This window comes from Homo sapiens, chromosome 2 (assembly GCF_000001405.40).
Source record: "Homo sapiens chromosome 2, GRCh38.p14 Primary Assembly".
In the NCBI taxonomy this organism is placed as follows: domain Eukaryota; kingdom Metazoa; phylum Chordata; class Mammalia; order Primates; family Hominidae; genus Homo; species Homo sapiens.
In genome coordinates, this window is record NC_000002.12 from 41438590 (window position 1) to 41465902 (window position 27313).

Here is a 27313-nt window from a genome sequence, read left to right on the forward strand (position 1 = left end):
ATTAGTAGTGAAACCATTAAGTCCTAGAATTTTCTTTAGTGGGAGACATTTTATTATGACTTCAATCTCATTATTTGGTATTAGTCTTTTCAGGTTTTGGATTTATTTCTGGTTCAATCTTGGTAGGTTGTATATATCTAGGAATTTGTTCATTTCTCCTAGATTTTCCAATTTATTGGCATAAGGTTGCTCATGGCAGCCACTAATAGTCGTTTGATTTTCTGCAGTATCAGTTGTAATGTCTCCTTTTTCATTTCTGATTTTATTTATTTGGATCTTCTTTTTTCTTAGTTTGGCTAAAGTTTTGTCGATTTTGCTTCACTTTTCAGAAAACCAACTTTTTGTTTCATTGATCTTTTGTATTTTTTTATTTCAATTTTATTTGTTTCTGCTCTAATCTTTATTATTTCTTCTACTAATTTCGGGTTTGGTTTGTTCTTGCTCTTCTAATTCTTTAATATGCATAACTAGATTATTTACTGAAGTTTTTCCTCTTTTTAATGTAGATATTTATAGCTATAAACTTCCCTTCTCGTACTGCTTTTGTTATATCCCATAGGTTTTAGTATGTTGTGTTTTCATTATCATTTGTTTCAAGAAGTTTTTCAATTGTTTTCTAAATTTCGCCATTGACCCACTGGTCCGTCAGGAGCATATTGTCTGATTTCCATGTATTTGTATAGTTTCCAAAATTCTTCTTGTTACTAATTTTGTGGTCAGGGAAGATGGTTGATATTATTTCAATTTTTTGAATGTTTTAAGGCTTGTTTTGTGACCAAACATATGGTCTAGACTTGAGAATAATCCATGTGCTGAGGAGAAGAATGTACATTCTGTAGGCTTTGGATGAAATGTTTTGTAAATATTTATTATATCCATTTGGTCTATTGTGAAGATTAATTGTGATGTTTCTTTATTGTTTTCTGTCTGGAAGATCAGTCCAATGATAAAAGTGAGACGTTGAAGTCTTCAGGTAGTATTGTGTTGAGGCCTCTCTATTTAGCTCTAATAGCATTTCCTTGATATGACTGGGTACTCTCGTGTCCAATGCATATATATTTTAAATTGTTATATTCCCTTGCTGAATTGACACCTTTATTATTATATAGTGACCTTCTTTGTCTCGTTTTTGTCTTGAAATATATTTTATTAATATGTGATATAGTATAGCAACCCTTGCTCTTTTTTGGCATCCATTGGCATGGAATATAGTCTTCCATCTTTTTATTTTTGGTCTATGTGTGTCTTTATAGGTGAAGTGTGTTTCTTGTAGGCAAGAGATCAATGGGTTTTGTTTTTACATCCATTCAGTCAATGTCTTTTGATTGGAGAGTTTAGTCCATTTACAGTCAATGTTATTATTGATAAGTAATGACTTACTCCTGCCATTTTGTTATTTGTTTTCTGATTATTTTGTGGTTTTCTCTTCCTCCTTTCTTTTAATTCCTATCTTCCAGTAGTGAAAATTATTTTCTCTGGTGATATGATTTATTCTCTTGCTTTTTATTTTTTGTGTGTCCATTGTATGCTTTTTTGTTTGAGATTACCATAAGGCTTGCAAATACTATCTTATAATCCATTATTTTAACCTGATAACAACACTACTTGCATAAACAAACAAATGCAAGAGAAAAGAAAACTAATAAAAACTCACCTTGACTTTGTCCCACTGCTTTTTAACTTTTTATTGTTTTTACTTATATCTTATTGTGCTGACTATGTCTGGAAAAATTGTTGTAGTTATTATTTTTGATTGGTTCTTTCTTTAGTCTTTCTACTTAGAATAAGAGTTATTTACAAACCACAGTTACAGAGTTACAATATTCTGTATTTTTTCTGTGTTCTTACTATTACCAGTAAGTTTTCTACCTTCAGGTAATTATTTATTGCTCATTAATGTCTTTTTCTTTCTGAATGAAGTACTCCCTTTAGCATTTCTTGTAGGACAGGTCTGGTATTAACGAAATCCCTCAGCATTTTTTTTGTCTGGAGAAGTCTTTATTTCTCCTGCATGTTTGAAGGATATTTTCACCACATACACTATTCTAGGGTAAAAGGTTTTTTTCCTTCAGCACTTTAAATACGTTATGCCACTCTCTCCTGGCCTGTAAGGTTCCCACTGAAAACTCTGCTGCCAGATATATTGGAGCTCCATTGTATGTTATTTGCTTCTTTTCTCTTGATGCTTTTTGGATCCTTTCTTTATCACTGACTTTGGGAGTCTGATTATTAAATGCATTGAGGTATTCTTCTTTGGGTTAAATCTGCCTGGTATTCTATGACCTTTTCATACCTGAGTATTTATATCTTTCTCTAAGTTTAGGAAGTTCTCTATTATTATCCCTTTGAATAAACTTTCTCCCCTTATCTCTTTCTTCACCTCCCTTTTAAGACCAGTAAGTCTTAGATTTGCCCTGTTGAGGCTATTTTCTAGATCCTGTAGGCATGTTTTATTGTTTTTTAAATTCTTTTTTCTTTTGTCTCCTCTGTGCATTTTCAAGTAGTCTGTCTTTAAGCTCATTAATTCTTTCTTCTTGATCAATTCTGCTATTAAAGGACTCTGACGCTGTTTTCAGCATGCCAATTGCATTTTTCGGCTCCAGAGTTTCTGCTTATTTTTAATTATTTCAATCTCTTTGTTAAATTTATCTTCTCTGTGTTATATTGAATTTCTTTGAGTTTCCTCAACATAGCTATTTTGAATTCTCTGTCTGAAAGCTCATATATCTCTGTTTCTCCAGGATTGGTCCCTGGTGCCTTATTTAGTTCATTTGGTAAAGCCATGTTTTCCTGAATGGTGCTGATGCTAATAGATGTTATTCAGTGTCTGGGCATTGAAGAGTTAGGTATTTATTGTAGTCTTCATTGTCTGGGCTTACTTGAAGCCACCTTCTTGGGAAGACTTTCCAGATATTTTAAAGGACTTGGGTATTGTGGTTTAAGCTGTTTTTGCTGTAGGGGGCATCCCAAGCCCAGTATCACTGTGGTTCTTGCAGCCTCATAGAGGTACCACCTTGATTGTCTTAAACAAGATCTGAAATAATTTTCTGGATTACCAGGTGAAGACTCTTAGTCTCTTCCTTTACTTTCTCCCAAACATACAGAGTCTCTCTCTTTCTGTTCTGAGCCACCTAAAGCTGGGGATTGAGTGACACAAGCATGTTGTGGCCACCACCACTATGACTGTGCTGGGTCAGACTTGAAGCCAGCACAGCACTGGGTCTCTCCCAAGCCCTGCTATAATCACTCCCTGTCTACTGCCTATGTTCACTCAAGGCCCTGGGGCTATATAATCAGCAGGTGGCAAAGCCAGCCACGCCTGTGTTCTTCCCTTCATGGTAGCAAGGTCCCCAGGCCTCAGGTAGGTCTGGAGGTGCCTTCTGGGAGTCAAGGACTAGAGTCAAAAACCTTAGAAATCTTCATGATATTCTATTGTATTGCAGCTGGCATTCAAATCACAAGACTTTTCCCTCTCTTCCCTCTCTTTCCCTCTCTTTCCACTCTTCCCTCCTCTTTCCAAAGGCAGAGGAGCCTCACCCCATAATGACTACCACCCCTGGCCACAAGGAGTACTGTCAGACTGCCACCAATGTTCCCTTAAGGCTCAAGGTCTCTTAAGCCAGTGTGTGGTAAATGCTGCCTGGCCTGGGACTCACCCTTCAGGGCAGTGGTTTCTCCCTGGCCCAGTGAAGGTCCAGAAATGCCATCCAAAAGTCAAGTCCTGGAACCAGGGACTCTAAGAGCCTACTTGGTGCTCTACCCTACTGTGGTTGTGCTGGTATCTAAGGTGCAAAACAAAGTCCCCTTTACTTTTCCCTCCACTTTTCTCAAGCAGAAGGAGTTTTGTCCCATAGCCACCACAGCTGGTAATATGCTGAGTCTCCCTTGAAGCCAGCTAGTCTCATAGGCTCACCCAAGGTTCTTAATGTAGTATAAGGGTATCGCTGCTGGTTTTTCAAGACCCAAGGGCTCTTCAGTTAGCAGGTAATGAATGCTGGAAAGACTGGGTCCTTTTCTTCAAGGCAGCATGTTCCCTTCTGGCCTAGCATGTGTCTAGAAACATCATCTGGGAGCTAGGGCCTGGAATGGGGGCCTCATGACTCTGACCACTGCCCTATCCTGCTGTGGCTGAGCTGGTATCCAAGATGTAAGACAAAGTCTTCCCCACACTTTTTTCTCCTCTCCTCAAGCAGAAAGGTATCTCTCTTGAGCTCTCAGGAGCTCTGCAGCCTGAGATTAGGGGAGGAGCAATGCCAGCACTCCCTTAGCTGCCCCAGCTAGTGTCTCAGTATATTACATCACTCCCCCAACCATCCCTCCACCTCCAGCCCCTCCAGTCCACTGTCTCTGGGCCTAGTTAAGCCCTAGGACTTGCCTATGAGTTGCAGTCCTTATGGCCTACACTGCCTTTCAAGTTTACTTAGAAACTGAGAGCACTTTGGCCCTTGGTGGCAAGGTTTGTAGGCACTCAAGTTCACACTGCTGGGATGGATGATTCCCCTCTGGCTAGGGCTGATTTAAATGCCCCCTCCATGTGTGGGCATCAGCTGAGTCTGGTCAGGTTATTCTTTCTGCTGCAACAGAACAGTCCTGAGTTCCATGCCACACAATTGCTGTGTTATCCTTCCCCCAAAGCCCAGATACTCTCTCTGCACCATCCCACAGCTGTTGAGGGTGGCGGGGGGTGGCATCAGAGATTCAGGACTGTTTCTCCTATCTCCTCATTGCCTCTTTCGGCGATATGAAGCTGAAACCAGGTACCATGAGTGTTTATCTGATTTTTGGTTCTTACGCAGGTGTTTTTTCGGTGTTGATACTTGTTAACTTGGTGTCCTTGTGGGGACAACTGGTGAAGCTTTCTATTCTGCCATCTTGCTCCACCTCTTCCCCTATAAGCACATTTTGCTTTACTTCCTAGCCTCATTGATACACAAGATCTATGATGACACTAACCACACTATAGGAGATGCTGATTTTCTTGTGCTGGTTTTTAATTTAATTTAATTATAGCTTTACTGCAATAATTGCTGCTTGCCTTCTCCCAGAATACTATTGTTGATTCTGTGGAATTTATAGAGGACCTTGAGCCTCTCAGAAGAAATTCATTTTTATTACCTTAAAAATATTTAAGAAAATTCAACCAATATCTATAAAAGTTAAAAATATATAGAATCTTTTACAGAATTTGTACTTCTAGGGAATTATCCTTGAACTATTTTAGCACATGTGTAAAGTGGATATAATATGGAGACACTCACTGAAGCTTTAGTTTCAATAGCAAAGGAAAAAATGCAGCAATATAAATGTTGATCAACAGTGGACTGGCTAAATAATTATGGTTCAACGACAAAGTAGCAACTTATATAGCTGTTAAAGCAATAAAGCAGCATTGTATGTACTGATACGGAAAAAACAGCTAAGATATTTTAAGTGAAACAACTACATGAAATACGTCCTTATATTTTCGGAGGATGTCTATGGAAAAATATAATCCAAATTAATAATAGTAGCTACTCCTGGAGAGGAAGAATAGGTGGCTGGGCATAAGAATGGGAAGATTTCTTTCACACACTCTCATATGTACTGGATTTTGTACTATATGCGTACTTAAGCTTTTTAAAAATAGTTTATTTTAAAATCATTTTTTAAAAACTTAGCTCCCTATTAGTTTTACCTAAAAAAGTGACACAGTTGGAAAAGCTAAATGTTTGAAAAATATTTTAATAATTTTATTGCAAATAATATTTTAAGATACGGGAAGGAGATAGTATTTTGGTGCCAGACAAACCTGGATACTAATGTTGACCAAATTTCCTGCCAAATTAAATAACTTCTCTGCTCTTCAGTTGCTCCTCCTATTGAAAAACAGCAGATGTAAAAGCATAAACTTATTCATATGAAATAATGAATGCCAAGTACCTGGTACAGCAGCTGGATCCATAGAAATGCTGAACAAACTCAATTATTATCATCTTTAAAATTTTAGTTCTTTCTCCAGATTCAGAATCACTTAGTGCATCAGCCTTGATAAAGTATGTTGCTTAAGTTATGTTATATGCATAAATAGGATGGCAAAAATTCTACCAGCTAAAAAGCATCTACAGTCATGCACTGCATAATGACATTTTGGCCAAAGACAGACCACATATACAATGGCGATCCCATTAAATTATAAATGGAGCTGCCCTATATAGGTGTGTATCTTTTTTTATCTTTTACATACTATTTTTACTGTACCTTTTCTATGTTTAGATAGACAAATACTATTGCGTTAAAATTGCCTACAGTATTCAGTACTGTAACACGTGTACAGGTTTGCAGCCTAGGAGCAATAGTCCACACAATATAGCCTAGGTGTGTAGTAGGCTCTACCATCTAGGTTTGGACATGTAACCTCTATAATGTTCATACAAGGACAAAATCACCCAACAAGGTATTTCTCAGAAGGGACCCCTATCATTAAGTGACATAAGACTGTGTTGATAGGCTAATTAATTTCATTTAAAGCACTTACAAGGTTGCCCTACGAGACTGGCAAATAGGACCTGTCATCTACTAAATTTTTATACCACAGTAACAAAGAAAGCTGTTAACCAACTCATTGATTCAGGATGAAACTTAAATGTTCTATCTTTCAAATTTGTACCTATAACATGTATATCATTGTCTACTATTTTTAATAGTTTCAAAATGTAGTTTATACGATTGAATGAATGGTTGGTCTGGAGGAGTTCCGTTTTCCTCCTTTTTCTGAGAATGCTTAAAGTAAATTGGAGACTCAGGAGAGAAGCAGAGGGGTTTATCTGTGATCATTATTGAAAGGATGTGATTTATTTTTTCTTCTTGTTGATGATGATAGTTATGTCCAAATCTGGATTATGTCCAAAATCTAGGGTTTATCTGAGATGCATTTACCAATTCAACTGATAGCATGTAACACCTATTATGTCTAAAAAGTGTTCAGTTGCTATGGGCTTATGAATACAAAACCATCAAGGATTCTCAAGAAGCGTATAATTTGCCACGTAAGAAATATTATGATCATAAGTAAATATAATGCAGAAAGTGAAGTCTAAAATAGAAGCAAGAAAATAATCTACTCCAAGAGTTTTTAGCAGTATTATTCACAATAGCCAAAAGGTGGAAACAACCCAAATCTCTATCAATAAATAAATGAATAAAATGTGGTATGTACATACAATGGAATATTATTCAGCCTTTAAAAGGAATGAAATTCTGGTACATTCTATAATGTGAATGAAGCTTGAGAACATTACGTTAGGTGGAATGTCAGTCTCAAAGAATAAATATTGCATAATTCCACTTACATGAGGTATCTGGAGTAGTCAAATTCATAGAGACAAAGTAGAATGGTGGCTGCCAAGAACTGTGGGTATGGGGAAATGGAGAAACATTGTTTAATGTGTACAGAGTTTCAATAAGGGATGATTAAAACGTCCTGGATATGGACAGTGATGATGATTGCACAACAATGTGAATGTACTGAATGCCACTGAACTATAGGCTTTAAAATGGTTAAAATGGTAAATATTATGTTACGTATATTTTACCACAACAAATGACAGACAGAAATGATGAACAGTTTGATATAAATTTAAATGTTGCAATATTGAAGATGTTGCCTACGAAGATAAGGATTATCCAGAGACATCCTGAAAAATGCACAGAATATCTGTATGCTTCAGAACGGAATTTTAAATGTTAAATTTTAAATGATGAAAGTGGTATGGAAACAAAACTATGTATAATATTTTATTGCACATAAAGAAGAATATGGAAAGATAGTCATTTGTTAAAATAAATAAAATGTTTCAGACTTTCCTATATGATGTCATTCCATTGAGGCAATGCCATCTGGAATCCACCATGTGTATTACTTTTCTTTGCTTATTGATGTCCTAATAGCAGTAAGCCTTTGCCAAAGTTATTTTTCACAAGGGTTTATATTAGAAAGCTATGCTCTTCATGTCAAATAATATAATGCATCTAGTCACCTCCTTCAACTATATGTATATATTTAATTACTGATGCCTGATGCCTTTAAAATATAAATATAAATAGCTTAAATAGGACATTTCCTCCCCATTTGACTTGCTTATGGAACTGAGATTCTGGAAGGGAGCACTGCCTTTCAATAAGTTAGTCACAGAATATATTTAGCAGTTTGAAAGCTCATACACTTTCCGGTGAACTGAGTGAAAGTTGGTACATGGTGGACAACTGACTCCTCACTCCAGATGCCCTTGTTATTTGTATATGAGACAGTAAATCACACTGCTTTAAAAAGCTAGGAGTATTTATGTGTAAGAATAGCATAGAAGATTCTGCTTATATACTGACAGTCTTGTGTTGATTAAACTAAAGCCTACTATTATTTTGCCAGTATATCTTGTGCTAGAAAGTCCTTTTGGTAGAAAAAGAGCCTTTTAAAAACAATAACTGCTCCTAGCAGCATTTAGTACAATCTGTGAAAAACTATCAGTTTTTCTGATCCATTTATAACTGCCAGAGGTAGAATGATGTCAATTAAAATTGAATCCATTACAGTCAACATGCTGGTATAATTTATCAATGCAACAATTATTTAACTACACTTTTGTGATGTGGTATAGAGCTCTGACAACATAATCTTAGAGATGGTGGATCACTCCATGTCCAGCTAAGCATAAGCAAGAACTTGCTTCTTCCTTTAGAAGCCCCAAATTCATATGCTCAAGGACATTATTAAATAATCATTAGATGTGTGCAAATGAAAACATGCTTTCTTATTCTTTCTGCTACCAGTTTTCTTTCCCACTATTTCCCCTAGACTATTCAGACCACAATTTGCTTTTGGAATGTTACTACCCTAAAATGTATATTTGTATTCAAGGCCTTCCACCTAAAAAGAGAAAAACCAGGTCACATGTTTGTATAGCCCTGAGGAAACAACATTGGTAGTCATCAACACTTCCTTGAATTTGTCTCTTCATTCATTACATTCCTCCTCCCTGATTTATGATCATGCAGAATGAGTGAGGTTAAAATATTTAAGTACTCAAAAATTTACTTTCATACATTTCTGATAACTAAACTCAATTACAAAGTGTGTCCCCAAAAGAAGGATTAAAATAAGCTTTTCTTTCTATCAAGTAAGGTGATGTATGAGTCTATACATACTGCGCATTCATGATTAAAACAAATATCTTAATGTACTGAGGGTGGAAAAAGACATTGAAAGATTTTATATACATTTAAGTGTGTGAATCCTCTCTTAGAAATAGTCTTTAAAAATATTCACTGGCAGAAGGATAATTCATAGTTCAGGAAAATATTATATAATCAGTTATTAATTTCTTAACATTTCATATATATATATTACCTTGGTGACATATTCCACCGCATTCCTCTAATATCAAAAGAATATCATACCCAAAGGGCCATTCCTGTTTTTATTTATTCAATTATCCATATTTCTTTGTCATTTTTACATTTCACCCTTAAAAACTCCTTGAGATTTGCCTTATTCTTATTGTGTCATCAAATATCTTCAGATATTTCTCCAGAAAAACCTTCAGAGATTACCATATTATAGTTTATGGGTCTGACTAAAAGATATTCCAATTGTGTCAATAAAATTCTATCACAATTTTTTCTGCAGGAAATAGTCCCCTTAGTGACAGAATATCTGGACATCTAAGGAACATGATGAGGCTGGCAGAGATAGATAATGCAGGTAGGTTTGATTTATCTCAGGAAGTTATAAAACCTGTCTGCAATGAAGGAGGTTAAAGCTATAATGATTCTTCATAATGAACTCTGATAGTGAGGAGCAAGCAAGCAATGAGCCACTCTTCATGGCAGCTAATGGTTCAGGCAGCAATGAGGAAGAATTACTGCTCACCTGGCCCTGTGATTCCAGCATAAAAACACAACACAATGAAGAAGCACACCGTTACCCTGAATTTCAGAGGAAGCACTGAAAGTGTCTTTCAATGTAAATAAATTAATCATTGTTTTACATTCAGTAACTCGTCCTATTCTTCTGTTTTTATTTCCTGGTCCAGCTTCCTTATGTAGAAGTTATGTTGCCCAAACTTTTTTTCTTTTTCATATCCAACATATTTTTATAGTAATCAAATAGCGTCTGCACAAAAGAAATTGAGTTTATATCTATATATGAAAAACTAATAGGACTCAGTGATCCTGGATATTGACACGCTCACCCTCTGTCATCAATCTAGAACACTGCATAATAAATGTTATTGTCACATCTGTGCAATAAACGTTCATAACCAAAAGAATTGGCTGGATTTCCTACAGTGTGCTATCTGCAAAAATTATCTATCAAAAAAGTTGTAACAAACTTTGGCACTAATACTGCATATAACACTATGAAATTTATTACTGTTTTTACAGACACATACAGCAATGAAACAGAATAGAGAACCCAGGAATAAGGCTACACCCCTACAACCGTCTGATCTTCAACAAAGCTGACAAAAACAAGAAATGGGGAAAGAACTCTCTATTCAATAAATGGTGCTGGGATAACTGGCTAGCCATATGCACAAGATTGAAACTGCACCCCTTCCCTAAACCATAGACAAAAATCAGCTTCAGATGGAGTAAGACTAAAATTTAAAACCCAAATCTATAAAAATCCTAGAAAACTACCTAGGCAATACTATTCTGGACATAAGAATGGGCAAAGATTTCATAATGAATATGCCAAAAGCAATTGCAACAAAAGCAAAACTTGGCAAATAGGAACCAATTAAACTTAAGAGCCTTTGCACAGCAAAAGAAGCTATAAGCAGAGTAAACAGACGACCTACAGAATGGGAGACAAATTTTGCAAACTATGCATCTCACAAAGCCCTAATATCCAGCATCTATAAGGACCTTAAACAAACTTACAGAGGCCGGGGACGGTGGCTCATGCCTGTAATCCCAGCACTTTGGGAGGCTGAGGCGGGTGGATCACGAGGTCAGGAGTTCAAGACCAGCCAGGCCAAGATGGTGAAACCCCATCTCTACTAAAAATACAAAAAAATTAGCCAGGCATGATGGCAGACACCTGTAATCCCAGCTACTCAGGAGGCTGAGGCAGAGAATTGCTTGAACCCGGGAGGTGGAGGTTGCAGTGAGCCAACATCGCACCACTGCACTCCAGCCTGGGCGACAGAGTGAGACTCCGTCTAAAAAAAAAGACAGAAAAAAAAATTTACAGGAAAAAACAAACTTTATTAAAAAGTGGACAAAGGACATGTACAGACACTTTTCAAAAGAAGACATACCTGTGGCCAATAAGCATATGTAAAAAAGTTCAACATCACTGATCGTTAAAGAAATGCAAATTAAAATCTCAAAGAGATAATATCTCACATCCGTCAGACAGGCTATTATTAAAGAGTAAAAAAATAACAGGTGCTGGTGAGATTGTGGAGAAAAAGTAACATTTATATATTGTTGGTGGAAGTGTAAATTAGTTCAACCATTGTGGAAAGCAGGGTGGTGATTCCTCAAATACCTAAAAACAGAATTACCATTTAACCTAGCAATCCCATTACTAGATATATACCCAAAGGAATGTAAATTTTTCTGTCATAAAGACACATGCACATGTAGTTCATTGAAGGAGCAATAGTGCTCTTTATTGTAGCACTATTCACAATAACAAAGACATAAAATCAGCCTAAATGTTTATCAATGGTAGGCTGGATAAAGAAAATGAGGTACATATATACCATGGGATACTATGCAGCCATAAAAAAAGAATGAAATCATGTCCTTTGCAGGAACATGGTTGAAGCTAGAGGCCATTATCCTTAACAAACTAACACAAGAACAGAAAACCAAATACCACATGTTCTCATTTGTAAGTGGGATCTAAATGATGAGAACACATGGACACGGAAGTAATAGACTTTTCTATGAAAATGAAGAAAATAATAAACATATCCTTTTGTTTCTCAATTGTGTTTCCCTAGGAAGGTCATGTCGAATGAAACAGCATGGGTCTTCATTTGTTGATAACAGGAGTGCAAATTCTGGCCTCCAAAGACTGAGACATCAGTAATATGGAGTCTCCAAAAAGTTCATGGAAAATGTGTATTATGAAAAAACTATTCATGTATGTCAAAAATTTATGCACCAAAATAAATTCATACTAACTTATTATAACATGCCTGAACAGGATCTAGTTTGAGGCTAGAGGGATAAGACATCAGTATTAAAATATCCTCTATCAGAGTAACATTAATTCTGCAAAAACTGAAGCAAGAACAAGCACAAAATTTATGGTGAAGTATAGGTAAAAGAATGATGAAATGACTGATGTTTTATTAAAAGTTTATGCAGACAATGCTCCAAAGAAATCAGCATTTTACAAATGGACAACTCATTTCAAGATGGGAAAAAATAATGTTGAAGATGAAGCTCCCAGCAACAGATCATCTACATCAATTTGCAAGAAAAATAATTAATCTTATTTATGCTATAATTGAAGAGGGCCAACGATTAACAACACAAACAGTAGCCTATACCATAGACATCTCAACTGGTTCAGTTTACACAATTCTGAAAAATTAAAGTTAAGAAGACCTTTCACTCAATGAGTGACAAAACCATGGCACCCAAATCAGTACAGACAGGAGCAGAGCTTTCAGGGAAATTTTAAATAACTGGGATCAAGATCCTGAAGAATTTCTTTGAAGAATTGTAAAAGAAGATGAAACATGGCTTTACCAGTATGATCCTGGAGACAAAGCACAATCAAAGCAATGGCTACCAAGAGGTGGAAGTGGTCCAGGCAAAGCAAAAGCAGGCTGGTCAAGAGCAAATCTCATGGCAATAGTTTTGAAGGCATTTTGCTTGTTGACTTTCCACAGGGCCAAAGAACAATTACATCTGCTTGTTATGAGAGTATTCTGAGAAAGTTAACCACAGCGTTAGCAGAAAAAATGCCCAGGAAAGATTCACCAGAGAGTTATTCTCCACCACAATAATGTTCCTGCTCATTCTTTTTGTCAAACAAGAGTAATTTTTTGAGAGTTTGATGGGGAATCATTAGGCATCCACCTTACAATTCGAATTTGGTTTCTTCTGACTTCCTTTTGTTTTATAACCCTAAAAAAATCTTTAAAAGGCACTTGCTTTTCTTTAGCCAATAATGTAAAAAAGAATGCATTGATATGGCTAAACCCCAGGAACTGCCATTCTTTAGGAATGGATTAAATGGCTGGTAACATCACTTACAAAAGTGTCTTCAATTTGATGGAACTTATATTGAGAAATCAAGTTTATGTTTTTATTTTTATCTATTAATTTTATTTTTCGATGAACTTTTTGAAGTCCCCTGTATAACTAGTAGAATAAGCAAATACAGCAGAAGCCATGATAATAGATTTATTTTTCCCTTTATATGAAATTTAGATGTTTCAAAAAGAGGATAGGGACAGTATTTTCAGATAGGAAAAAATAATTGTAGATTCATCTGCTATCTTAAAGAGCTCTGCTCATTTTCATAGTGAAAGACATTTTTAATAGAGATTAAGATACAGCCCTAACTAAATTTCTGAATACTCTTTAAATCTGTAAGAGAGATTGCATGAGTCAGGATTTTTTATGCACCATTGTCTGCTTCAGTTATTCTTAACAGGCCACTCAAGGAAGATAAAGAGCCATGGGTTGTATATACTACGCATGCCTGAGACCATAAAGTAGTTCATCTCTTACAGGCTCATTGACTTTGCAAGTCAACTGGTAAATGAAAAAATTCTTAACTTTCCCAATCATAAAGTTGTGATTAGCTCAACTCTTCTGCTATAAATGTGCCAAAATGATGCCATTAATGGATTTCATGAATAAGAAGGTTGCGGCTTTATTTTTTCCCACATATTCTTCACCTTGAGTTCTCATATTGTAATTATATACAAAGAAGAACATTTTATACACTGACAATATGTAAAATAAAATGCATGAACTTATTGTTTATGTTTAATTAGAGGAAAAGATCTGTCAAATAACTCATATTGTAAAGACTACTGTAATTTTAACGACATTTTAAAATGAGGAAGAAGAAAGATCTGAATAAACAAACCAAAATGTTAAATCATTTAGAGTATCAGCCTTTTTTTTTTTTTTTTTTTTTTTTTTGAGACAGAGTCTTACTCTGTCATCGAGGCTGCAGTGCAATGGCATGATCTCGGCTCACTGCAACGTCTGTCTCCTGGGTTCAAACAATTCTCCTGCCTCAGCCTCCCAAGTAGCTGAGATTACAGGCGTGTGCCACCATGCCCAGCTAATTTTTGTATTTTTAGTAGAAACACGGTTTTGCCATGTTGGCCAGGCTGGTCTTGAACTCCTGACCTCTGGTGATCTGCCTACCTCAGCCTCCCAAATGGCTGGGATTACAGGCATGAGCCACCATGTCCGGCCCAGCCCAGACTCTTATTTTGTATCGTGAATCTGAGGGAGGTAGCTCAAGCTATTCTTCCAATTGGTGTTTGTGAGTCTAGATGACTCCTACTCCATCCCCACCAACCTCTGTGTTACAAAAGGAAAAGGATGTTCCTAGCAGAACTCCCTTGAACCCTAGATTAAGTCTAGTATTGTGCTAGTTCTGCTGCTACGGTTCTTAATGTTTTTACTCAATAATATCACAGAAAAGTCTCACAAAACAAATTCAGAAATCTCACTTTTTAAAGGATCATCAAAACCCTGTCATTTGCAACAACATGGATGGAACTGGAGGTTATTATGTTAAGTGAAACAAGCCAGGTGCAGAAAGACAAACACTGCTGATCTCACTGATATGTGAAAGCTAAAAAAGCCAAACTTAACAGAAGCAGAGAGTAGAACTGTAGTTACCAGGGCCTGAAGGTTATAAGGGGTTAAAGAAACATTGGTCTAAAGGTACAAAATTTCAGTTAAATAGGAGGAACAAGTTCAAGAGATCTAGTTCACATGGTGACTATAATAAATAACAATAAATTACATTATTGAAAATTCTAATAGAGTAAATTTAAGTGTTCTCACCACACGAAAAAAGATAAATATGTGAGGTAATGTATACGCTAATTAGTTCAGTTTAGCCATTCTACAATGTACGCATTTATCAAGACATTATGTTGTACATGACAAATACGTACAATTTTGATTTATCAGTTAGTTAATAAATTTAAAAGAAAAACGCTGTTCTAGCTATATTTTAAAAGGCATGCCCCAATCTTTCAGAACCTTAGCAAGCCCAACTATCTGTAAAATGGTCAACTAATTCCTCCCTCACTGACCTCACAGGGATATGGAGAGGGTCTAGTCACAGTGGGAACATACATAAAAACAATGTAAACTATAAACCATGGAAATAATGTGCAATAACTACATACTATTATGGAATTTGAATATGATGGCTTTAAACTGACCTTGTCCAACCCATGGCTCACGGGTTGGACTACTTGCAGCCCAGGATGGCTTTGAATGCTGCCTAACACAAATTCATAAACTTTCTTAAGACATCAGGAAATTTTTTAGTGATTTTTTTTTAGCTCAGCAGCTATCATTAATGTTAGCGTATTTTATGTGTGGCCAAGACAATTCTTCTTCCAGTGTGGCCCAGGGAAGCCAAAAAGTTGGACACCCCTACTTCAAACCATTTGAAATAATGATTTAAAGGAAACAGAAAAGCATTCATCTCCTATATAAATGTTCTATATAAAGAATCATATAATTCTCTCTTTAAAGTTATAATTATACTTCCCTTATTGTAAATGTGTTTCTGAGAAGTTGTTTATAAATCAAATTTTATTTTAAGCACATTAAGGGAACAAGCTATTTGAAGAAACTCCCCGTTGAACCTTTTGTGAAGTGAAGAATGCTTCTAAAATGCAAATAGATAATTTTTAACTACTCATTTTTTCAAGTTTGGGATTTGTATATGATGTTTTCTGGAAGTGAGCCACAGCTATATTGCCATCAGCAACATCTGGTAGTTTCTCTATGGAACTGCTCATGCCTTTCTTGGGTCACACTCACAACAGCACTACAACTGGCCTCATAGTAAGGATGAAACATTCAGGTCCTTCCAGTTGCCCATCAAGTGCTAAGAAACAAACACAAGTGTTACCACCCCTTAGACTCCATTCACGGCTGGATTCCCTCATTTCCCACAATAAACACTTAACTCAAACAGAGGATTCCTTATCAAAAAAAGAAAAAAAGTACCCTTAATGAAATTAATCACACATCCTTAATGCTCAGGACTGATTATTTCTTACACACCTAGAAATGTCACTGTCTCCCAAATAGTCCAAAAATCTTATATGAGGATGTTTTTATAAGATCACCTACATTTCTTGGCTTCACCTAGATTGACAATATATCTGGTGTTAAAAATAAAAAGTTTTCATAAAATTTAGTTTCTTGGAAACTCAGGAAAAGATTCGTTTCTTCATAATGAGTTTCGTCAAAAGTTTTTGTGATTCAAGATCAAGATTCAAGTCACTTCCCATTTAACTTAAATCTGTTTCAGAATTCAGTTTTGCTAAGGCTCACCTTCCCATTTGCTGATTGGCTGCCAGTGTGCACGTTAGCCACAAGAGAGGCTGAAAGGGTAATGGAGAGATTTGATTGAAGTGCTTCAACCACAGAATTTCTACAAGCATAGCTTTGCACTTATCAAATTGGAATTGCCCAAAAAGAATCTTCTGAAAATTGTTCAATATTGTCACTAAGAACACACAAGGCTAACCAAAGAATTCAATGATCTTTTTCATCATTAATCCAAATGTATTTTATAATTAATCTGGCAGAATAAATCTCAAAACACTGGTACGTAAGAAAAAGGAAGACCTCCTAAACAACAAATTAAGAAATCGAAAGCTGTGAGGACTTAGGCGAGGGCAATGTCATGATGAAGACTACAGTGATCAAAAGCATGAATTTTGGAGCCAGGTCGGGTTCCAGTGGCAACTCTGACACTCACTAGCTGTGTGACTTTGAACAATGTAATGTGTAGACTTCAGTTTCCTCATCTATAAATACGGTGACAACAGTACTTACCTATAGTAGGGTTGTTATACAAATAAATGTTAACATGTATAAAGTTCTTAGAACAGCACCTAAATAATACGTAACGTAGAATGTGGAATAGAATAAAAAATCTGGTTCTCTAAGGAATCTTAGAAATGAGAAGGCGAGACACAGAGACGTTGCAAGAACTAAACTATATGGCCCATCAATGATACACACATAATGGTTCTAACAACCTCTCTCTGTTTGTTACTGGCTTATTGGATACTCTGGGATACTCATTCAAATGATTACTGCCAAACTGAAATGATAATAACACTGAGGACATTTAACACCAAAGGATGTTTCATCTTTCCTATGAGGCCAGTGGTAGTGCTCTTGTGTGACCCAGGAAAGGCATGAGCAGTTCCACAGAGAAACTACCAGATGTTGCTCATGGCAGTAAAGCTGTGTCTCACTTCCAGAAAACATCAGATAGAAATCCCAATGTTATTAATACTAATAGCATTTGTATTAGAGGTGTGAGAAACGATGAACAGTAAAAACAACAACAACAAAAAAACACTCTTAACTGTTTTGCTGGTGGAAAAGCACCAGAGTTTAAGAGCATATTATCAGTTCCCAAAAGCACATTTCCATTTTTAATCACACGTTCTGAGGCTGCTGTCTAGAGAGAAATGTGGACTATAGCCAGAGGGCTCTTTGAAATGGAGGGTTTTTTTAATAACACAGAAAGTGAAATACTCTGAAAATCACATTTGGCTTCAGAAGTAAGTTCAGGCTAGCTTATTCAATAGTGTGCTAAACAGGAAGTAAAAGCTCAAGCACTTGATGGCTGCTCACATCCTGTGTGACCTTGAGAAATTACAGAATCTTTCTAGGTTTTTTTTTTTTTTCTTTTTGAGACAGAGTCTCACTCTGTCACCCAGGCTGGAGTGCAGTGGCGCGACCCTGGCTTACTGCAACCCCCAGGTTCAAGCAATTCTCCTGCCTCAGCCTCCCGAGTAGCTGGGATTACAGGCCTGTGCCACCACGCCTAATTTTTGTATTTTTAGTAGAGGCTGGGTTTCACCATGTTGGCCAGGCTGGTCTCGAACTCCCAACCTCAGGTGATCCCCCTGCCTTGGCCTCCCAAATTGCTGAGATTACAAGCATGACCCACCGCACCCAGGCTGAATCTTCCTAGACTTCATGTTCCCTATAGATGAGGAAGACTTCCGTTTTCCTATCACTAGATTTCCTATCATCTTTCCTATCACTAGAGAAGCAAATCTTATTGCTTCTCTAGTGATAATTATGTTAATGATGACTGATTCAAGGGTAAAGCCCTTCCCAATTATTAAAAAGTTTGCGAATGAAAGGCAGGCCACTAATAATGGACCCCTTAAAAGTTGGTAATACTAGATTCATATCCTTCAGCACATGAATTGTTCCACATGGATATAAACCAGGATGCAAACTTTGGTTTCATAACTCATTATTCGGGTATGAGTGATTTAGGAATCTGATAAGCCCCAGCTTAGCCAAGGACCAGAATGAAGTTTGGCCTGTTTTTCCACAGTGCCACATCAAGGGTAGGCTCAGATCCTTTTTCGAGATTCTATGAGATTCTGAAAGCATGGGAGATTTTATCCATCCCAACGAGGAAACCAGGCCTCAGGGAAAAGATGACATCACAGATCAAAGGTAAAGCTTGACCTAGGCTTGAGTGGTTACCTATATTTCTAACACTTTTTTTGACCACTAGAGATTGACTTAGGCATTTAATGATTTCAACAGACCCCAGGCAGAGAGACAGAAAGAAAATAAATGATTACTGTAATAGGAAACCAGTGACTCAAGGTATAGCACACCATATGCCATTAATTGAAGAAACATTCTTTTCTCAAATGGGTTCAAACAGCATTATTTTTTAAAAATTAAGTGTGTTTGGTGGTAATATGCTTTCCCATAGGCCAATCCATTAAAGAACATTTAGGCCTGCAGCTCCCATTGATGGAAATATTGAAGAGCAAAGTCAAGCTGAAGGACTTACAAGACCAGACAATGAAAGGAATCACTACCCATCTAGCTGAAGTCCATGTCACACTCCAAGGCTTCAGGACATTGTAAGAGACAGAGAAAGGAAAAGGATACAAGGAATGAGAGTCTTTTTGTTTGGGATAAGAGATATAGGAGAGATGTTTAGGAAGCGCAGGTAAAAAACTCAGATCGAGAGAGCAAAGTTACCACTAGGCAGAAAGGTCTACTTTACTTGTGAAAGTGCAGGCATTAGGCACTTTTCTATGGCTACTCAAGGAACAATGATAATTTAGATAGCACTTTAGCCTTTTTCCTCCTTTCTAAAAGTATCCTAACCCTCTAATAAACTCTAACTCCAACCATCTTTCATCAGTTTTTCATGTTAGTTTAGAGAAAATCGCATGGAAGAAAGGAAAGAGAACAACACACCACCCCATATTTTATCAGATCCAGTGGACTGAAAGTGTCAGCATTTTTTAAAGAACTTAGATTCATGTTTCTAGGTGACTGTCAGCAAAACCAGGAAGCACATTCTGACAGTGGCATAGAAACTCACAAAACCAGAAGAATGTTACAGAAAGGACAAATGCTACTGAGCCTGAACTATTTTCATAGGTTTGAGAGGTGAAATCCTGCAGAAAGAGAGAAAGAGAGAACTTCATTTGTCCTCTCTATAACATTCTTCTGGTTTGTGAGTTTCTATACCACTGTCAGAATGTGCTTCCTGGGTTTACAGTGAAAATCTGCTCAGCTGACTTCTCACCTCACTTTGGGTCAGCAGATGGCCTGGCACTTTTTATTTAGACAGTGTTCATGATAATGCAAGCAAAAATATGTAGAGACTTTAATAAAAGGGATCAGAAAGGAGAAACTCTGGGTCCAGTGGGAAGGAGTCTGAGGAGGGAATACTCTGGGTGAAATGCCTTGCCCCTCAAAGTGTGGTTCCTGGACCAGCAGCATCATCAGATCACAGGCCCCACCCTAGACCTACTAATCAGAATCTATGCAGTAACACGATCTCCACATGTTGCATATACAATTTAAGTTTGAGAAGAGTCAGTGTGGAGGACACCCCTGGGCAAGCAAATAAGACTCAGATGGGAATCAGGATCCCTGGGGATTTTCTGGGTGATTTGGAATCACCCAGAGGATGAGATACAGCAGGAGGCAGTCCATATCAGATCCGGCTGGCGATGGCATCATGAACCCAAGGAATGATGAATCAATGCCATAGGGGGAAGACAGGGGAAGTAATCTCTCCTCAGGGTCCAGTCCTCTGTAAGAACTGGCCAATGCCATTAATATTATCAGAATCCCAGGCATGAAGAGTAAAATTTAAAAAACGGCTCTAGTTCCTTCAAGGAACAGAAGTCCTTAGAAGGTAAACCAAGGCTGGGCGCGGTGGCTCACACCTGTAATCCCAGCACTTTGGGAAGCCGAGGCGGGAGGATCACGAGGTCAGGAGATCTAGACCATCCTGGCTAACAAGGAGAAACCCCGTCTCTACTAAAAATACAAAAAATTAGCTGGGCGTGGTGGCGGGCACCTGTAGTCCCAGCTACTCGGGAGGTTGAGGCAGGAGAATGGCGTGAACCTGGGAAGCGGAGCTTGCAGCAAGCTGAGATCGCGCCATTGCACTCTAGCCTGGGCAACAGAGCAAGACTCCATCTCAAAAAAAAAAATGGTAAACCAAGACAAAAGTGTGATTCTACAGACTGATTCAGCATTGGAAAGGTAGGCAAATGGCATGACTTGGAGATTACATGGGCAACCTCCCTGGCACACTGATGTCTCAATCTCCCACCAGAAAATCCCACTAGCCATAGGGGCTGGGGCTCTCAGTGTCTTCTGCCCTGTTTGGGTGGCTTTATGAACTAGACTGAGCAGTAGTTTTAGTTGTTTGGGACTGAGAAATGCAAGGAGCTAACATGACTTGTGCAAATTTGGTGAAAACCAGTTAAACTGAGTTGAGATAGATATATATATATATATATATATTTACATAAAATGTGTTTTATGAAAATACCGTGGGTTTAAATTTACAGATTTAGCTGAAGTGTTTATATCCTTAATCTTGAAAAACTTTGTTATGAAATACTGTACTTAAAATTGGGTTCCAGGCAAAATCAGCTCGCCTTCAATGCACTTGGAAGTTTACATCACCAAAATATCTCAAAGCCCCACCAGATTTTGGAACAAATGAAAATGCATTAGCATTAGCATGAAAACTCAAATGCCACTGCCTAAATGCCTCTATATACTGATGTGAACCTCAGCCTCTTCGAGAACATTTCTATGTATTCCAGGCATCTCACACAGCACTCAGAAAAATCAGTGCTCACCAGGTGCTGCCATTTGCCCACCAGGCCTCAGCTTGGCATCAAACATGCACCTTGGGCATCTGCCATGCCCCACTGGGCATCAAGGTCTCCTCAGTGTCTTGCACTGCTCCTTTAGGAGATAACCACCTTTTCCGGGATGCTGTTTCCTGGTGTGCATGAATTACAAAATCTATAGGATACCCAAGACAAGATGATCTTCCTTTAGTCCCGGTTTGACCAAAACTAGGATATATGTGAAGCAGAGCTAGAAAGAGGTACAGACTTAGACCCATGCAATCCTCATGGACTCAGGAAAGACTCCCCTATAATTTTACTGTTCTTACTTTAGACACACATGCATAACATTTCTCTCCTCATAGACTGTCTTTCCCAGTCCAATTATGTGGGTAAATATATATTTGGGGGATGGTGTGTTTATGTGCATGGGTAGGGTTGGTATGGTCCTTTGGCCCTATCAGATAAATTTCCACTGAGAACTAGGCAAGATCAGTCTGTTATGTTTGTATGAAAGGGAAAAATAGGACATTCATCACCTAGAAACAAAAATAGTGGTTCCCTCTTTCACACAGAGTATTTAATGGATATCTTACTCTAAAGAGACCAAACATATGTTAGAGCTCTGATCATGATGTCTCTACTTTTAGTTTGTATGAATGTGAAAAAAGACTTTTAAAAAGAATTTTAATACCATTAGTCTTTAAATGAGGACTCTCTTACTAATATTACAAACTAAGAGCTTTACTTTTTAAAATTTTACTTACATTGGCACCTAAAATGGCAGGTGACTAACCACACATGATCGTCCATCAAAGTGCCCAAGGGAAATAGTGCAAGGGAAATAGGGCAAGGGAAATATTTTTCTCATACAGAGGTTACTGCTACATTGTCAGCCAGCCAAGAAATTCTTATACTACTTGATTTAAGTGACTTAACACATTACAGCAGCCTTTTATGATGCATACATGTTAAACCCATTTATCTTTAGCCTATTTTTGATCTAAGATCTGTGTTGTTAACAATGGAAAGTAATAAATGTCAGGTAAAAAGAAAGATAAATAAATGAGGTACTTTGGAAATTCAATGGTAAAAAGAAACCCAGGACATCCCCCAATGACAAGTCAGTATTTTCCGACAAGGACAAATTAGAAGCATCATTTACTGAGAGGTTTTTTGTGGTTTTTGTTTTTTTCTTTTAACCTCCGTTGGGCTGGAGGCTAAGGAATGATTAAAGGATTTTAAAATTATGAGTTTGTTGTCATTTTTTTCTTCAGGCAACACTCTAGTGCTTTCCTTGTTTTTTTTTTTTTTTTTTTAAAAAGTCCCAAATTCTGCAACAGAGAATAATTCCCTTTGCAGAAAAAAACAGATTTGAGCTGGGCGTGATGGCTTATGCCTGTAATCCCAGCACTTTGGGAGGCCAAGACGGGCAGATCATGAGGGTCAGGAGTTCGAGACCAGCCTGGCCAACAGGATGAAACCCTGTCTCTACTAAAAATACAAAAATTAGCCAGGTGTGGTGGTGGGCACCTGTAATCCCAGCTACTCGGGACACTGAGGCAGGAGAATCACTTGAACCCAGGAGGTGGAGATTGTAGTGAGCCAACATCGCACCATTGCACTCCAGCCTGGGTGACAGAGTGAGACTCCATCTCAAGAAAAAAAAAAAAAAAAAAAAACAGGTTCGATATATAACACATATTGTAGAATACTTGGGGGTGTTGAAAGTTTCAAGGGGAGTAGTGGAAGTGGGATAGGGAAAGAGCAGTAGAATCCAGAGGGAAGGTTGAAAATAAATTCTCCAAGCATTTGAAATAAAACAAGCTAGTCCTGAATATTTAAAAGGCACAAGTATTTAAGTATTAAGACTGTATGCCAGCAGTCCCCAACCTTTTTGGCACCAGGGATCAATTTCGTGGAAGACAATTTTTCCACAGATGGGGGGTTGAGGGGGATGGTCTCAGGATGATTCAAGCTTATTACATCTATTGTGCACTTTATTTCTATTATTATTACATTGTAATATATAACGAAATAATTATAACTCACCATAGTATCAAATCATCGGGACCCCTGAGCTTGTTTTCCTGCAACTAGGCAGTCCCATCTGGGAGTGATGGAAGACAGTGACAAATCAGGCATTAGATTCTCATAAGGAGTGAGCAACCAAGATCACTCACATGTTCAGTTCACAATAGGGTTCGCGCTCCTAAGAGAATCTAATGCCTCTGTTGATCTGACAGAAGGTGGAGTTTTGGTGGTAATGTGAGCAATGGGGAGTGGCTGTAAATACAGATGAAGCTATGCTTTCTCACCTGCCGCTCACCTCCTGCTGTGTGGCCCAGTTCCTAACAGGCCATGAATAAATACTGGTATGGGTCCCTGGCTCAGGGGTTGGGGACCTCTGCTGTATGCTATAGAGTGCTGATATTAACATATCTACAGATACTGGATAGAGACTCTGAGAGTCATGGAAATATTGACTTGGCACAATAGTGCTACAAAAATAATAATTGTCCCAAGGATGAACAAAGGTGAAAATTCACTAGAGGGGTAGATCCTTTGCCCTCCAAGAGCCACAAGCTACTATCATGGAGAAGGAGGCCCACACCACAGAAAGCAAGGGGAAATCTCAGTGCTGGGGAGGAAATTTGGGGAATTTCCTACCGTCTCCATGATACACCTTTCAAGGCCAAGTTACTAGCTGCTCTTTTATTTCTGTTATTTTGATATGGAATAGAAGTGAAAATTTTGCCTTCAACTGTATTAAACTAATTAACTTATTTGTCAATATTTACATTATACAAATATTATGGGGCCCTCAATGGCAAAAGCATTAAATGTCTCAAAGTGCATTGCTTCTCCTTTTTCCTAGAGGTCTCTTAGATTCAGAATCACATTTTTAAATGTCAGACATAAGTATCAACATAATTATCATTGCCTATAAAGGAGTCAGGAAATGGGTCCAATATGAAATATACCTGATTTTTAAAAAGTAGAATGAACCACATTCTCAGCCTATGCCATATGGTTTAATTTTTTTTCTAGGACTCTCAGCTGAAAAGAGACTTGATATTTTTGAGTATCACATATAGTTTTCCTTACTTCATTGAGCTAAGATAGCTAGACCAGGGGGCAGAAATGAGTGCATCCATTCAAAAGCCCCCTACACCCAGCTATCTAATGCATAAACTTCCCATATTCCAAGTATTAAAAACACTGGAAAATTGGTTAGGCATTTAAAGAGAAAACACAATCTTTGTTCTTCCTCCTCCTTCTTTGCCAGGAAAAGACATTCCATAATCAACATTGTGAATCCATTACCATAAATAATAGAATTATCACCAATCTGTGAACAGATTCAGCAAATAAAAATGAGCAAGCTTGCTATTTACCCTTGTTGCAAATATGTCCCTCTAAATAAAGTAGACATTTCATAATCAAGTGCATCTTTCACTTCCCGTGGTGTACTGCATTTTGTTGATGCAGATGATAGCTCATTCAGAAAATCTTTGATTCTTACATAGCTTTTCAATTACAGAAACAAAGACTCCCATAGGCTATCTGGCCTGAACCAGTAATATTAGTTTGCAATGTGACTTACTGGGCTTTATATTATAGCAGAAAGTTAAATTAAATATAAACAGAAATCCTGTTCCTCTGACTGTCCTCCTCTTTGTTACCGAAGATGACCTACTCTGTTCTGCCTGATAAAATGTATTTTACATCTTTCCTTTAACTTCAGGAGTTATCTGTTCCCATCTTTCCACAAATTTACTTCACAGCACTGAGCTTTCTCCTTGCTTTCTGTGATGTAGACCTCCTTCTCCATGATACTAAAAAGCCTACTGTCCTCCATAAAATTTTCCTCAGCCATTTAACAATAATAGCCATCTTATAGCTATAGATGAAAATGTTTTGACTTCAGATCTCTTGTGTTTTCTGTTTTATTTATCTATTATCTATCATCTATCTACCTATCTTCATAAGTGGAAAGCCCTCTCTAAGATTCTGTATGTCTCTGAGGCCAGCATTCTCTACATAGTGACTTCTCAACAAATGATGTGTGCCATGTGGAAGCAGTGGAACTGCATAGAGGGAAAGCAGAAAACAATGTCATTCTTTCCTCCTGCTTCCCAGGTCTGTGGGACTAATTCTTCCTTACAGTGCAAACTGCAATAAGAAAAGAGGTCTGACTCTCCACATCCCCACCTATACTTGACTCCTCTCCCACCCCACCCCACCCCTACCTAGGCCGCACTCTTACTCCTCCAGAGAAGGGGAGGTGTGGGGGAGGGAAGGGAGGTAAAGGGCAGGAAATTGTATCTTCCTCTGGTACTGTGGTAATGTAGACATGGTCACCTACTAACTAGCTGCATGAATTGGGCAATTTACTTAACTTTTCTGAGATTTAATTTCTGCATGCTGTGAGAAGTGAGTTATTAATAAATGTAAGGTTATTTGCAATTTTGACACTCTAAGCTTCTGTATTTAACAATCCTCCTCCAACCTCTACCTGAAGTTCCCTTGGATGTCCCCCAGCATCTGACCCTCTTGAGGCACTCAAAAAGTAAGGAAAGCTATATGTGATACTGACCCTGCAGTCCTCATCTGACCCTCTTGAGGCACTCACCTCTGCCCTGTCTGCCACTGGCACCTAACATATTATCTATTTTTTTCTGTAGTACAACTAGGCAGCTACCTTGATATAGGTTCACCTTACATTTTCAGTCCCTCACAGGACCATATCAAGCTGTGCATGTCATCTCTTTTTGCTGGGCTTTGCTTAAGGGGAGGCAATTTCTCCATTTCATAACTCTCTAACAGCTTTTTCCAAAGACTTCTGATTTCTCTCTCCTAACATCTTTACCCTCATTCTTTGTATGCCCATGAGTGAGTATTGGGCTAAGGATCATATGACCTGTTTATGGTCTTCTTGTTTGCAAGTGACTAAGGGGATCTAGCTACTGAGCCTGGTGTACAGAATGTACACCTGCTATTGTTCGGTCTGGGCCTTTTAGTATTCTCACATCTTTGGTGTAGCAGCAGGTTTTGAGACTCTTCCCCCTGTGGCTATTTCCCTCTTATTTCAGATTCACATTTTTTTTTCTTTTTTTTTTGAGACTAAGTCTCACTCTTGTCCCCCAGGCTGGAGTGCAATGGTGCAATCTCAGCTCACTGCAACTTCTGCTTCCCAGGTTCAAGCGATTCTCCTGCCTCAGCCTCCTGAGTAGCTGGGACTACAGGCACGTGCCACCACACCAGCTAATTTTTGTATGTTTAGTAGAGAAGGGTTTTCACCATGTTAGCCAGGCTGGTCTCAAACTCCTGACCTCAGATGATCCGCCTGCCTCGGCCTCCCAAAGTGCTGGGATTACAGGCGCAAGCCACCACATGCAGCCCAGATTCACATCTTCTAAACTTTACCTTACTCATGAAAACATACCTGGGCAATAGAAAACTTTTAGATCCTAAGAATGAATACAAAGTTCAGCCTTCCTAGGCATATTCAGTTCTCTTTGCCTCCTGACTAAATTCATGCTATTCCCAATTACTCCTCACTTCCCATTCTGTACTAGATGTTTGCATTCTCTTTCTAATTTCACGTTAAATGTATGTCTTATCTAGGATGAGTTTCTGCCAGGTTTCCCAGTCCACATAAGAAGTAGTGGATCTTTTCCAGGCTGCAGTTTTTTTTTCCCTGGCCCAGGCCTAGGACCTAACCATAGTACTTGGAACATAGCGGTGTCCAGTAAATATCTCCTATTACGGTTTTTTAATCCCTGGCTTCCAGAAGACCAGCTTCCTTCTACCCCTTTTTAACTGCAATTTGCTTCATATTTATGGGAGACAATGCTGTCTGTATATGCAAGAATGAATCATACCTTCCATTAGAACGTTTATTCCTATATGTATAT

At 37.9% G+C, this 27313-nt stretch overlaps 1 long non-coding RNA gene across 1 annotated transcript in view, besides 4 other annotated features; it reads right to left on the reverse strand.

Annotated features, from left to right (window-relative positions):
- LOC105374506 (uncharacterized) overlaps positions 1-27313 on the reverse strand; it is a 165476-nt gene that overhangs the window by 26061 nt on the left and 112102 nt on the right. The gene's annotated exons all lie outside the window — the stretch shown is intronic.
- Positions 17570-17629: an enhancer, noted in NCBI's record as "active region_15620". NCBI's record gives its function as "activates an Ori minimal core promoter by ATAC-STARR-seq in GM12878 lymphoblastoid cells {active_cell/tissue: GM12878}" and the evidence as "EXISTENCE:reporter gene assay evidence [ECO:0000049][PMID:35858748]".
- Positions 17890-17999: an enhancer, noted in NCBI's record as "active region_15621". NCBI's record gives its function as "activates an Ori minimal core promoter by ATAC-STARR-seq in GM12878 lymphoblastoid cells {active_cell/tissue: GM12878}" and the evidence as "EXISTENCE:reporter gene assay evidence [ECO:0000049][PMID:35858748]".
- Positions 19832-19951: an enhancer, noted in NCBI's record as "active region_15622". NCBI's record gives its function as "activates an Ori minimal core promoter by ATAC-STARR-seq in GM12878 lymphoblastoid cells {active_cell/tissue: GM12878}" and the evidence as "EXISTENCE:reporter gene assay evidence [ECO:0000049][PMID:35858748]".
- Positions 20012-20091: an enhancer, noted in NCBI's record as "active region_15623". NCBI's record gives its function as "activates an Ori minimal core promoter by ATAC-STARR-seq in GM12878 lymphoblastoid cells {active_cell/tissue: GM12878}" and the evidence as "EXISTENCE:reporter gene assay evidence [ECO:0000049][PMID:35858748]".